This window comes from Homo sapiens, chromosome 10 (genome assembly GCF_000001405.40).
Source record: "Homo sapiens chromosome 10, GRCh38.p14 Primary Assembly".
NCBI lineage: Eukaryota > Metazoa > Chordata > Mammalia > Primates > Hominidae > Homo > Homo sapiens.
In genome coordinates, this window is record NC_000010.11 from 2,975,292 (window position 1) to 2,989,988 (window position 14,697).

General features: G+C 46.0%; 1 long non-coding RNA gene across 4 annotated transcripts, besides 1 other annotated feature; it reads right to left on the reverse strand.

Moving 5' to 3' along the window:
* Positions 1–1,058: 1,058 nt before the first annotated feature.
* On the reverse strand, positions 1,059–11,153 carry LOC105376352 (uncharacterized). 4 transcript variants are annotated; one of them, XR_001747271.2, is made up of 4 exons: positions 11,085–11,153; positions 9,880–10,968; positions 1,279–1,481; positions 1,059–1,160 (listed from the first exon to the last, which is right to left on the reverse strand). It is a non-coding gene; the product is annotated as an uncharacterized LOC105376352 (long non-coding RNA). The 4 variants fall into 4 exon arrangements; XR_930557.3 differs by lacking the exons at positions 1,059–1,160; positions 1,279–1,481 and having other exon boundaries at positions 9,069–10,094; positions 10,581–10,968; XR_930556.3 differs by lacking the exons at positions 1,059–1,160; positions 1,279–1,481 and having other exon boundaries at positions 9,069–10,094; positions 10,532–10,968.
* Positions 9,426–9,925: an enhancer, noted in NCBI's record as "H3K4me1 hESC enhancer chr10:3026909-3027408 (GRCh37/hg19 assembly coordinates)". NCBI's record gives its function as "activates a minimal SCP1, AML or CMV promoter by ChIP-STARR-seq in primed H9 embryonic stem cells {active_cell/tissue: H9 hESC(primed)}" and the evidence as "EXISTENCE:reporter gene assay evidence [ECO:0000049][PMID:30033119]".
* Positions 11,154–14,697: the final 3,544 nt, after the last annotated feature.

A 14,697-nucleotide genomic window follows, 5' to 3' on the forward strand; every position in this document is an offset into this window, starting at 1 on the left:
GGACCCCTTTTAAATACCTCTCGCCAGGCGCGGTGTCTCATGCCTATAATCCCAGCACTTTGGAAGGCCGAGGGGGGTGGAACACTTGAGGTCAGGAGTTCAAGACCAGCCTGACCAACATGGAGAGACCCCGTCTCTACTAAAAATACAAAATTAGCTGGGTGTGGTGGTGGGCGCCTGTAATCCCAGCTACTCGGGAGGCTGAGGCAGGAGAATTGCTTGAACTCAGGAGGCTGAGGTTGTGGTGAACCAAGATGGCGCCATTGCACTCCAGCCTGGGCAACAAGTGCAAAATTCCATCTCAAAAAATAACAATAATAATAATAATAATAATAATAATAATAATAATAATAATTGATAATTAATAAATAACTCTCAAGTGAATGCATCCTCAACCTGTTTTTCTCCATCAGTTTGTTTGACTTTTTAAAATATTAAGATTGGCCAGATGCTGTGGCTCACACCTGTAATTCCAAAACTTTGGGAGGCTGAGGCAGAAGGATGGCTTGAGCTTTGGAGTTCAAGACCAGCCTGGGCAACGTGGTGAAAACCCATCTCTACAAAAAATGCAAAACTTAGCTGGGTGTGGTGTCACATGCCTGTGGTCTCAGCTACTTGGGAGGCTGAGGTAGGAGGATCACCTGAGCCCAGGAGGATGAGGCTTCAGTGAGCCGCGATCATGCCACTGCACTCCAGCCCAGGTGATAGAGCAAGATCCTGTAACCAAAAAATAAAATAAAATAAAATATTAGGCTATAATAAGTAATAGTTTGAATTTTCTGATGTACAAAATTAGTTAGGAGAGCACTGCAATGGAAATACAATGCAAGCCACAGATGCCATTTTAAATTTTCTAAAGCATATTAAGTAGAAACAGATAGAAGCAATTTTAATAATATATTTTTAAGGCCGGGCACAGTGGCTCACGCCTGTAATCCCAGCACTTTGCAAGGCTGAGGTGGGTAGATCACGAGGTCAGGAAATCAAGATCATCCTGGCCAACATGGTGAAACTCCGTCTCTACTAAAAATACAAAAATTATCTGGGCGTAGTGGCACATGCCTGTAGTCCTAGCTACTCAGGAGGCTGAGGAGGGAGAATTGCTTGAACCAGGGAGTCGGAGGTTTCAGTGAGCCAAGATTGCACCACAGCACTCCAGCCTGTGAACAGAGTAAGACTTGGTCTCAAAATAATAATAATAATAATAATAATAATAATAATAATAATAATAATAATATATTTTAAGCCCAATATGTGAAATATTATTTTAACATATACCTGAGACAAAAATGTCAAGATATTTCTGTTCATTCTGTCATACAAAGTCTTCAAATCTGGTGAGCATTTCCCACCAAGAGTTCGGTTCAGCTTGGACAGGCCACACTGCAGGATCTCAGTGGCCACATGTGGCTAGAGGCCACCCTACTGGGCAGTGCAGAATTAGAATATCTTGCCTTTCCGTGGGTCAGAAATCTGAAACTCTAAATCAAAGAATATTACAAAATATATTCTATGCTATAGCATTCTTTTGTTGGCAATCAAGAAGGTGAAAATACAATTCCGTGGGATGGAGATATTATTTTAAGTTGAATACAGGAATACTTGAAAAGATATTTCTTATTCCTTAATGTATGGATTAGGTGACTCCCCTACATGTCAAACAAGAATCATAGTTCTCAACATTTAGCAGTTTATATGGTCTAGGAGGAAGATTTTAAGGATTACCAGTTACAATATTATTATTATCATTATTATTATAGTGCAATATAGTGCAATAATTCCAACCTGTTTTTAACAAGAAATAAGAGATTTTAAAATAACTAGAACTTAAAACAAGAATAAGTAATAAACGTTGAGTACTTCCTGTATGCCAGATGCCATGATCATAGGATCCTCAAAACCCCATAAAGTAACCACTGTTATTAATTCTATTTTAAAGTTTTTAAAAAGTGCTGGAGGCTGGGCTTGATGGTTCATGTCTATGATACCCATGCTTTGGGAGGCTGGGGTGGGAGGGTCCCTTGAGGCCAGGAGCTCGAGACCAAGCTGGGCAACATATGAAGACCCTGTCTCTACAAAAAACAATTTTAAAAATTATCTACAGATGGTAATGTTTGCCTATAGTCCTAGCTACTCGGGAGGCTGAGACAGGAGGATTGCTTGAGCCCAGGAGGTCAAGGCTGCAGTGATCCATGATTGCACCACTGCACTCCAGACTGGGAAACAGAGTGAGATCCTGTCTTAAAAAAAAAAGAAAAAGAAAGAAAGAAAGAAAGAAAGAAAGAAAGAAAGAAAGAAAGAAAGAAAGAAAGAAAGAAAGAAAGAAAGAAAGAAAGAAGAAAGAAAAGAAAAGAAAAAAAGTGCAGGAGCCCATAGCCTTCCTCCCTGTCGACTAGGGCGCCTCTTTGCCTGGTCCACCAAGGGCCAGGGTGCGGTTACCGCACTGCAGCCAGGGAGGACTGTGAGGACCATGAAGACTGTGAGGACCGTGACGAACTCACACTTCGGTCACAGTCTCAGCAGGCTCCCTAGAAGGATGAGCTTCAGGCCTGCTTCTGCTCTCCAGCAACTTCAGAGGGAAACGTCTTCCAGGTGGAATAAAGAACCCAGGAAAAATGGAGAGGAAACATAGCCCCAGAAATTAATATCCACTGACCTAACAAAGGTTTCAAATGGTGTTTAAGGACCAAAACCAGGTGCCGTGATTTCACACCGTGATTGGTGTCCATTACAGTGAGAACACACCTCATGGCCTCTTTGTTCTCTAAATGCATAAAATATGAATGTTCATTTGAGCTCTTAAGAAGATTGCCTTTATAAGAAAACAGAAAGACAAAATAAAAGAAGGAAGTGAGGAAGGAGGGAGGGAAAGAAAAAAGGGAGAGAAAATCAGGGAAAACAACAACAAAAAAATGGACATTATCGCAGAGGAGCATTTGAGTTTCTCTCTCCCTCTCTCTCTCCTCTTGAACTGGAGGAGCCTTAAGTCAGTCAAACGCTTCCCTCTAGTGTCTGAAATGCTGAATACAGATTTCATTCTCTGAAAACAATGAACAAATCCTTGTAAATTCAGTCTTATGGTACCTGCAGACTCCAATCTACCTTTTAAACTATAATCAAGAAAAAAATTTCAAAAGTAAAATAATTATCCAGTCTTGATTTTCTCCTTACAAATTATGGATTATTCTGGTTTGGTTTTTTTTTTCTGGAAAAGTCATTTAAATCCCAGGGCTGTAAGAAAACTAGGAAAGAAAACTGAATTTTCACAAATCTGATCAATACAGCTTGCATTTAATACAATGATACATTTCTATAACATTTCTGAGAAATTTTAAAATTAAAAATCCTGGCTCTCTTCTTTATCTGGTAGGTTGGTTGTTACAGTTTGGTTTTTTTTTTTCTTACAATTTTAGCTAGAATTCTCACTTCTCACTTTGAGCCACAATTGGTATATCTTGATTGTTACTGTCTCTGGAATAATTAAAAGTAAAAGTTCAGGGCTGGGTGTGGTGGCTGACTCCTGTAATCTCAGCACTTTGAGAGGCCGAGGCAGGTGGGTTGATTGAGGCCCAGGAGTTGGAGACCAGCCTGGTCAACATGGCGAAACCCCGTCTCTACTAAAAATACAAACATGAGCCGGGTGTGGTGGCGCCCACCTGTGGTCCCAGCTGCTCAGAAGGCTGAGACACGAGAATCACTTGAACCTGGGAGGTGGAGGTTGCAGTGAACCAAGATGGCGCCACTGCCCTCCAGCCTGGGCAACAGAGCGAGACTCTGCCTCAAAAAAGAAAAAGAAACCAAAAATGTAAGCATTCAATCTGAAAGCAGCAAAGCAGGGTAAATATTAAACCACTTCAGACATTTCTGCCTTTCAATATAGAAGTTGATCTACATTCCAGAACAATACATATTAAATAAGCCATCACAATCAGTACCTCTGCAATCAATATTGCATATTTATCACAAACATTTCTCCAAAGAGGAGAAAACAAACATGTTAGCATTGGTAAATGTTACTGTCGGAGAAAGGAGACTCAAGCCCTCAGCAAGGCGGGGGCAGCTGCCCAGGGGAACAGGAATTGGGGACAGGCTGGACATTTCCAAGCGTCCAGTAGTTCCTGGCCAGCTTCCTTCTTGACTGGAGACTCTCTGAGCTGCAGTTTGGCCCCACACATTGCAGAACTCCTTTAACAGGCTATGGCAGAAACGGAAGACAAGTGTTGCGAAAATAATCGCATGCTTCAGATGTTTTGTTCTCAGACCAAACTGAGGGGCAGGCGGCTATTTCTCTCAGCCCAATAATGAGATGCAGATGAACTGGGGAGGAAGAGAGATTTTATTTTCTGCCACCGGTTACAGGGAGAAGACCTGGAAATTATTGCCAGACAAACTCAAAATTACAAAGTTTTCCAGAGCTTATCTACCTTCTAAGCATTCATCTAAAGACACAGATGATAAACTTCTTCTAGTCTATAACTAATATCTGAGTCCTGAAGACCTTCCTCTCGAGCCTCAGTAAGTTTACTTCACCAAATGGTCCAGGTTCCGGGGTGATTACCCTTATCTTGTCTCCTGCTAAATCATGGAGGTTTGGGCAGTTCCTTCAGGCCCCAATAAAACTTGTTTAATCCTAAATGGGCCCTGTTAAGAATTCCTTCATTATTTTGTCATGCTTTAAGGCCCAGGAAAGGCCTACTGAAACTGTTGTTACGGAGGCCTGCATTAGTGAGACCTGGCCTGCCACAATTTCATATGATTCTTTTTTAGCATGGAAAATTCTGGAAACTGTTCTGACATCCTCTGGTTTGTGGAAAGTCCAGCACAGAGCAAGACAACTTGCAGAGTATTGGGGCTTGTCTTTTATCTTCAAAGGGAACACTGAAACAATAATACTTACATCTGAGTTCCTCCTATGGGCTAGGGGCTGTTGTAACTTCATCACATGTGTTTGTTTGTTTGATGTTCACAGCAAAGGATGTTGTTGGCATGATCACGTTCCCTGTGTCACAGAGAGGAACCTGAGGCACAGACAGAAAAATCAGTTTGCCCAGATTCGCACAGCCAGTGAGTGACTAAGGGAGCATTCCGAGGAGAAAGAAAAACATACTTGAATGAAAGCAGTTGCTTGAGGGGAACCTTGGTCTACTTTTTTTTTTTTTTTTTTCTGAGATGGAGTCTTGCTCTGTCACCCAGGCTGCAGTACAATGGCGCGATCTCAGCTTACTGCAACCTCCGCCTCCTGGGTTCAAGCGATTCTCCTGCCTCAGCCTCCTGAGTAGCTGCGATTACAGGCACGTGCCATCGTGCCTGGCTATTTTTGTATTTTTAGTAGACGTGGGGTTTCACCATGTTGGTCAGGCTAGTCTCAAACTCCTGACCTTGTGATCTACCCATCTCAGCCTCCCAAAGTGCTGGGATTACAGACATGAGCCACTGCGTCCAGCCTGGTCTACTTTTAATATTGTTTTATTACTCGTATTTAAAGGAGTATTTTTCCTCCTCCGCCAATACACTGACTTATGTGAGTAGTCAACTCTTCTGAGCCATGCAACCCCGCTGTTTAAATGACTCGCGGCTTTGTCACTCCCAAATCCTACAGTAAAATGTATCTGGTGGAGAAATGAACAGACTTGTCTCCTTAAATGAGTGTGGAGAACAGAATGAGTTAAAGGAAAACAAAACAATAAAGCATTCATGTATTTAAAAGATCTGGCCGAATAGTTTGCTAACCTAAAGAAAATGATTCAGAGGCTGGGCATGGGGGCTCATGCCTGTAATCCCAGCACTTGGGAGGCTGAGGTGGGAGGATTTCTTGAGCCCAGGATTTCAACACCAGCCTGGGCCACATAGTGAGACCTCATCTGTACAAAAAACAAAAAATAAAAAACTAGCCAGGCGTGATAGCATGCAACTGTTGCCCCGGCTACTCAGGAGGCTAGACGGGGAGATTTGCTTGAGCCTGGGTGGTCAAGGTTTGTGGTGAGTCGTGGTCACCCCACTGTCTGGGTGACAAAGCAAAAAAAAAAAAAAAAAGAAAGAAAATGACTCAGCAGCATTCGATCAAACTGAGAAACATAATTGAATCCTGCCCAGTGTCCCGTGTCCATCGCTAGGTCCTCTACTGTGGGACCAGTGCGTGATAAGTGAAGAGTCTTTCAACTCTCTCCAAAAGCCGAGGCACCAGAGGGCACAGCGCAGAGCAGGCAGGAAGCCCCTGAACAGTGATTGGCGCTGGAGGTCCACGATTCATTCACAAGGCGTTGCAGGGCAGCGGGATGGGCGTGTTTTGGATAAACGTGCCGGGGTTGCTTACACCCCGCCGGAAGCTAGAGGATCAGGACATCCTTGCCCGTTTCTGCCATCGGCTTGGCCAGCTGTGCTCACGGGCACAGCGGAGAGCAGACAGTGGTCAAAGAATGAACTTCAGTTGCCCCCAAAGCACTTGCTTGCTTCTATCCAGAAATTCCTGTGATGACGCTGTGAGCTGTGATTTCATCTGGGAACCTCAGCACTTCAGTGTTCCTTTTTGGAGGGATCAGTTCTTTTTTTCTTTCTTTCTTTTTCTTTTTTTTTTTTTTTTAACCTTCCAAAGCTCCCATGCAGCAAAAGTTGTATGAGTAGGAGGTCGATTAAATTTAAAAGTTGGTGAAGAAGAGCTTCCAGCTTCCCACCTAGGATGTAAGGGGCTTGGAGGTGGCCACTCCCTCCTAACAGGTAAAAAGCTGAGCCCTGACGTAAACTCTGAATGCTGGGTGACAAGGGTGTGTCGGTGACATAGGTGCATGGATGGTAACAAATGGACCGCTCTAGTGGGGGTGTTGGTAGTGAGGGAGGCTATGTGTGGGGGCAGGGGAGTTTTTTGGAAAATCTCTGTACCTCCTACTCAATTGTGCGACAAACCCACAACTGCTTTAAAAAAAAAAAAGCTCATTTTTAAAAATGGGTTAAGCAGAGAAAATAATGACAACAAATATTGCTTGTTAGCCTAAACGACACAATGGGAGTTGTTCTTTGATGCTTTCGCAGGTGCCAGGCCTCTGCTCAGCCCCCAGCCCCTAGAAAGCCACTCCCAGTGCCTCGTTCCTCAAAATACAGCCACCGAGCATGAAAGAATGCAACTGTTTCTTAAAACAGATCAAGAACTTATCTTTAAAGATATCTGAGAATCTATCTCGATTTTTTTAATGTTTCTCAACGATTCTTAGTTTTCTTGCACATGTCTAATTCAACAGCATTTGTAGTTTGTATTTAATCTTTCCAGAGCATTCAGTTAACTGTACAGCAATAACACATCTCATCCATCCTTTTGGATCTTGTATTTCATGGGTTTATCAAACATTTTGTTAAATTATGAAATTACACTAAAAAACACAGAAGGCACAGATTTGGGAACAAGCTACCTTTCAGAAACCCTTAACACAGCTGGTCAAGGCAGACATGGACAGCAGCTGCCCACCAGCCCCAGGCACCATGTACCCTGGAGGCTGGTCTGAGGCACTGGTGAGCTTTGATTAATGCCCCACATTGGCTCAACAGTGTCTGCAGGGAGAACATCCACTTGGCCTGTTGATGCAGCCTCTTCCCTCCCCTCCTATCCATAGAAAGGATCCTTTTTTTTTTTTTTTTTTTTCAAACGGAGTCTGGCTCTGTCACCCAGGCTGGGGTGCAGTGGCACAATTTCACTTACTGCAACCTCAGCCTCCAGGGTTCAAGTGATTCTCCTGCCTCAGCCTCCCAAGTAGCTGAGATTACAGGTACACGCCACCACACCCAACTAATTTTTGTATTTTTAGTAGAGATGGGGTTTCACCATGTTGACCAGGCTGGTCTCGAACTCCTGACCTCATGATCCACCCACCTCGGCCTCCCAAAGTGCTGCGATTACAGATGTGAGCCACTGTGCCTGGCCAGAAAGGATCCTTTAGGGCACAATGGAAACCTTGACATTAATGGCGGCTTTGCTGCAGGATTTCCTGTGATCTTACAAAGTAAGTGCTCCGGAAGTAGTTGTTGAGTAAATAATGTTCACAGCACTGAGCATTCTGATGGTTTAAAGAACTAAACATCTGCTGGGGTTTCTTTGAGGTTAGAAAGAGGCTTAGTGTTTGAAGACAGGATGGATTGTTATTAAAGAAATTAACAACCACTGAATTTGTCAGAGAGTTGGGGGGATTCACAAATTTTTTTTTTTTTTGAGATGGAGTCTTGCTCTGTCACCCAGGCTGGAGTGCAGTGGTGCGATCTCGGCTCACTGCAAGCTCTGCCTCCCGGGTTCATGCCATTCTCCTGCCTCAGCCTCCCGAGTAGCTGGGACTAAAGGCACCCGCCACCACACCCGGCTAATTTTTTTGTATTTTTAGTAGAGCCGGGGTTTCACCATGTTAGCCAGGATGGTCTCGATCTCCTGACCTCATGATCCACCCTCCTCGGCCTCCCAAAGTGCTGGGATTACAGGCATGAGTCACTGTGCCTAGCCGGATTCACAAAATATTAAATTTGAACCTCCACACAGGAAAATGTTAGCAGTATTTATTCTGAATTTCAGTCAGCAGAAATGACATGAAATAACTGGCTTTTGCCAGTTACTCAATCGTTCCTAGGTACATGATGACAGGAGCTGTTGGTTGCATGAAGTCATGAGTGAAGTTAAAGCAATGCATTTAGGTTAAAATATATACCCCATGTCTACATGGGGTATACATTTTATATATATATATGGATTATATATATGATATATATGGATTATATATATGATATATATGGATTATATATAATATATATGGATTATATATATCATATATATGAGATATTGTTATTTATTTATCTTTTAACTGAATTTGCCTGAATTTATATTTGTATGGGATATACATAGATAGATATAGATATAGACATAGATATATAGGTATAAATATGGTTTGGATAATAGAAAACACTTACAGATATTGGCCAAATCAGTTAAAAAATAATCAAAGACTCAGAGAGACATTTAATGAACTTTAAGTTTTACTGGATCATTGTATAAATAATAACCCTCATTATATTTAAAATCAATTTGGGAATAAGGATCAGCACTTTAATCTCAAGCCTTTATTATTTATTGCTGTGTGATTTCACAGCTTCCCCTGATGTCAGAACGCAAGCCCAGATGATGCCTGTGTGATGGGGCTTCCCTAGAAACGAAGGGATTTATTTTAATTGATTGCCTTTTAATCAGAAAGTTGTGTGAGGCATGAAGCCCTGTCCTTGGGCATCTGTGCAGCCCCAGCCTGGCAGAGAGTGGGTCGCAGCTGGTCTTCCACTGGCCAGCAGCCTGCAAAGCCCCTGGAGCCCAGGAGGTCTGTCTCCTGAGTGCCCCAACCTCATGCAAGCTGGAATTCCCTCAGAGTTTTGGGTCTGGGGTCCCAGCGCTGGTGAAGGCGCGGTGTGCACACTCCCTGGAGCCTCCACTGCAGGGCTTCCATTGACCAGCAGAAGGTCAACAAAGGCTCTGGGTCTCCAGAGCAGGTGCTCAGAGCAAACCCAGCATGCCACGTGTTGCTCAGGCCCAGGCTGAGGTGGATTCAGGAGAAGGATGGTTTGAATTTATTAGTCAGAAAGAAGCTACGTGAAATCAGCCTGTTTCTTGAAATGAATGTTCAGGGTGACCCTGGCTCAAGAAATTGCAAACCGTGGCCACTAAAAGGCCAGAGAGCGCCCTTCAGTGGGGATTCCCCAATTCCACGTGTAACTCGACCCAAACTCTGCAGCATCTGCAGGTCAGACATGGCCCCACGCAATCCAGGACCCTCACAGCTCAGCTCCCCCGTGTCCACTGGAATGACCCCCCTCAGTCCATCAGCTTGGACGACAATGCAATAATTAAAACAACGATAAGGGTACCAGTGAAGATGCTGCTGTCAGCTGAGTTCCTTTCGTGTGTACTTTACACACTTCACCTCTGTTACTCCTCCCAACGGCTCTGGGAAGCAGGAATTCTTTCTTCCAACGTGCAGATGAGAGCATTGAGGCACAGGGCATTTGAGAGACTTGCTCTGAAACACCAAACTAGTCTAGATGCGACTGATCACAGCTCAGCCAGGGTGGTCTCCAGCTACCTGGAAGATGTCAGTGGAGGGAAAAGAAGGGGAGTGGTCTTTAGTGAAACATCACTCCTCTCCCAGCCTCGCCAAGTGCATCCATGCACCTGCCGGGTGTCCTCACGGTGTCCTGAGCACAGGGCTCTCAGCCCAAGTTTTCCCTCGTCCAGTCCTGCGCCCACCAGGTATCAAGTGCTCACCACGTCCCAGGCTTCCTAACAGCTTTCATAAAATAGCTCATGTGAGTCCTTCCATCATCACAGTGAGTTAAGCCCTGTGATCCCCTCTTTGCCAGTGAGAAAACAAGGCTAGAAAAGTCTGCTGCTAAGAGGAAGTCTGAGCTTTCTACCCCGGGATGACTGGCAGGTGGTTAAAAACGTGGATCATCCTAACAAATGAATAAAACCTTGCCTCTACCACCTCCTGAAGGTGTAACCCGGGACAAATCACCTCACCTTTCCATGCCTCAGCTTCCTGATATGTAAACCGGAAAAGAACTCTCACCTCTCCAGCTTGGGAGGAGTCAATGAGTCACCCCTGGAAGGGCTGAGATCAGCTCGGCCACTCAGCAAGCTGCCATGGAAACGTTAGCCAGGACCTTTATAAGGCATTGTCTTGGGATCTGCCCTTTTGGAACCCTATTTCTTCGCAGATCATCCAGGCAGGGTCCAAGTCCGGCCCACCTGCAGGCACAGGGCAAGGGTGGGGCACACTCCCCTGCACCCCTTCCTTTTCCCCGCAGCCTCTCCCAGCCCTTCCTGGAACATGATTCCTGCAGACGCCCAGAGCTAGAAAACCCAGCTGCTCTCACGTCCACGTTTGCCATTTCTTCCACTTTTTCTGTTTTTCCTGATTCCACATCTCATATTTGGCCCATCTTGTGCTCACCTCTCTGTAAAAATGAGTCATATCACGATAATAAAAAGTCTAACCAGCAGTGGTCGTAAAAAATAAAATTACATCGTCATGAAACCCTCATGCTATCATTTACTATTGCTGGGGTCTTACCTTGTACCTGAAGTGAGAAAACAAAGGCATATGATCACAGGTTTGTATAGGAAGCTTTGCCAAGGTGAAACAAATATTGACCCAGAACAGATTGTGTCTAAAAGTGTTTAGTGTTCTTTTAAAGGGAATTGAAATGCGGAAGAGTAATAGAGGAGGAGGAAGGTCACTAGACCGCAAAACATAGCCAGGAACACCCCAGGTCCCCACCTGCTCCTCCTCCTCCTCCCCCCTCCACGCGGGCGTTGCCTATCTGGCTTGTTTTGGGGGAATGTAAACCGTTCTTGGAAGCCTGGTGTCCCCACGGCTTCACGGCCCTGACGCTGCTTTTCTTCCTGTTTTACCGCTCGCCTGGGACTTCATTTGCTTTAGTTGTGCAGTATTCTGTGTCCCCTCCTGTGAAGCTCATCTGTACTCTCAAGGGTAAATCCCTTTCCACCAGAAAGACAGATGGTTCCTTAAATGAGAGTTGAGTTTTTCTATTTACTGGAAGATTCCGAACACAGTAAACTCTTCCCTTTCTCTAATTCTGTAGCCCACCAGGACCATCCACTCCCCCCTGCAAAAAAAATCATCTGCAATCTGCATAATTCTGTTGTTTGTTCCCCAGACTCTGGGCATTTTCCTTCTCCTTTCTGCTCCCAGGTTATGGCTGGAAGGTGGCTGGACGGAGGGCAAATGCTTTCCAAAGGTGGTGTGGCCCCTGCTCTCCAATGAAGCAGGATGAAGGCAGGACCAGGGGTGGGAGGGGCTGAGAGAGAAGGGAGCTTTTCTTTCCCGCCCTCCCTCCTTCTCTCCCTCTTTTCCTTCCTTTCTTCCTCTCTTCTTTTTCTCTCTCTCTTCTTTCTTCCTTCCCTCCTTCCTTCCTCCCTCCTTCCTTCCTCCCTCCTTCCTTCTCTCCCTCCCTTCCCTCCCTTCTTCCTTCCTCTCGCCTCCCTCCTTCCTTTCTGTCTCTTCCTCTCATTCTCCCTCATTCCTTCCTTCCCTCTTTCCTCCTCCTCCCTTCCCTCCTTCCTTTATTCCCTTCCTCCATTCCTTCTTTCCTTCCTTTCTCTCTCTCATTTCCTCTTTCTCTCTTCCTCTCTCTCCCTCTCTCTCTCTCTCTTCCTCTCTCTCCCTCTCTCTCTCTCTTCCTCTCCCTCTCTCTTCCTCTTTTTTCTCTCTCTCCCTCTCTCTTCCCCTCTCTCTCTGTTCCTGCGTGCCTCTCTCTGTGTCTGTCTCTCTCTCTCTTCCTCTCTCTTCCTTTCCTCCTCTCTCTCTCTTTCTCTCTTCCTCTCTCTCTCTGTTCCTCTCTCTCTCTATGTCTCTCTTTCTCTCTCTATTCTCTCTTTCTCTCTCTCTCTCCCCCACCCTTCTTTCTGGTTGTGTGTGCTAAGGTATGAGCTCCTTGCCTGCACTGAACTGCAGGACCAACTGTCCCTGATGCGGGCACACAGGCCTGTGCTAGGACCCTCCCTGCTCCTGGCTCACAGATGCCACAGGCCAGGTCGAGGGTCAGCAGGCCCAGCAGAACTTCCCTCCCTGTGCCCCCCATGCCTCCCTCTTTTTCATTTGACCGCAGGCCATCTAGTCCATGTGTCCTGGGCCCCCATGTCCCTCCCGAGCTCTGCAGAGTGCAGCTTCAATCTGCATCTGGCCTTGGAGGCTGGGCGATGCTATGACTCGGTCTGGTGACAGGGGAGTCAGCAGGGCTGGAGGCAGCATCCCTGGAAATGTTCCTTTTCCCTCCACTTGGGAAAAGCCATCGAAAGAGGCTCTGTGACACCCTGGCCCTAGTAGCGTTCGATGGCTATCTTTACTTCATTAGCGTTTCATTCTCAATGGGCTTTCCTTGCTTATTTGACACCAATCTTCCAGCCTGACAGCCATTCCCCTGGAGAGAATTTAGTCAAAAATCTGACTGCTGCCCATCTAATCAAACCTTCAGTCAGTGGAGGCTTTCTCTACGTGTGCAAGTCTTTCACTCTGTCCTCCTCTTCCCTGCCACTCCCAGTCCACATGGAATGACAGAGCAGCGTCCCAGCCATGCTCCTGGCACAGTGCTCCCTCCGCAAGGCCTTCCCAGTGCTGCAGTAGGTTCCAGCCTGTCAAACTGCAGAGCCCCGCGTGCAGCCGCCATCAGGACAACAGTTGTAAAATGTTTGGTTGACAGTTTTTCATCCTCCAAAATTATCTTCTACAAATATTCTGTCTTTAAAACCAAGCCAAAGAGCACATTGCTCGAGGGAAGAAGAAGCAGAAGGAGAGTTCCAATGATGGGGAGGAGGCTGGGGACTGGGCGTCAGCCTCTCTGCAGGGCACTCCATGGGGCCGCTGGACAGGGCAGCAGGTTCTCCCCAGAGCAAGTTATGGAGGTGGAGGGATATGGATAGAAAAAGATGGAGAGGCACAACTAGAAGGGAGAGACTGAGAGATTGACAGAGACAGAAAGACTGAGAGAGAGACAGAGACAGAAAGACTGAGAGAGAGATAGAGACATCCTGAGAGACAGAAACAGAAAGACAGAGAGAGACAGAGACATCCTGAGAGAGAGGCAAACACATCCTGAGAGAGAGACAGACACAAAAAGAGAGGGAGAGAGAGAGCAGCAGACAGCCAGGAAGAGCCAGAACGGACCACAGCCCTGGCAGCACCTCTCCGGAAACACACTGTCTTTCCTCCCATACTCTATTGGCTGCACAGACCAACCCTCACTGGTGATGGGGGCAGGGACTAAATGAGAGTGTGGATGTCAAGAGAAGACATCACTGGGGCCATCACAAAGGCTCCTGACCTTGTCCTCCAGCCAGGACATTCTTCTCTGATCCCAGTCCCTGGTGCCTGCTGGATTCTGCCACCCTCCAGGTCCCTTGGAAGGTGACCCTGGGTCCTCCTCACACTTCCTCACTGTCTCTGCCCGATAGAATCTAAGTCCCCAAGGGAGGTGCTGGTCCCCCTCACTCACCATCCCATGGGTGATATGTAAGGACTGCCTTTGAAAAGCCTTGGGTTTCTTCAAGCTTTCAGTTGGAAGATTGTACTGAGCAACTGCCAGATCATATACCCCCGTTTTCTACAGAGGCAGCAGGAGCCCACTCAGTGTTTGTGGGGCACAAGTGGAGGTGTGGAGACTGAGGCAGGGCACAGTCAAGGATGATGACCAACACACTACCCAGAATACACAGACAGAGCTGGATTCACTGCTTCCTACACTAAAGGAGATGGCTCTCCTAGCAGCCATAGCATCCCTGAAGAGAGTAAGGTATTGATCTCAGATAGGGATTGGGGCACCTGGAGCTCAAGGCTGGGGACTCTTAGAGGCAGGAGAGTTACATCATCTGCTGACACCGTCTGCCGGCACAGCACTGTGATTGGCTCTCAGGAGCACAGTTGCAGAAGTGCTTAGCCCTGATTGGCTGATTTCCAGAGCGAGGGCTGACACTAATTGGCTGGCTTGCAGGTATGTGCTCACAGCCACCATTCTCATTGGCCAGTGGGCTGGGTTTAAAACTTGTGCTGCAGCTGTTTCTTATCAAGTTATTGAACAACCAGTCTTTTCCTAGTTGATGGGAGCTTTTTAGATTTTACAACATATCATCAGAAAGCAAGTTTAAAAACTCCAGAAATGGAAGAGAGG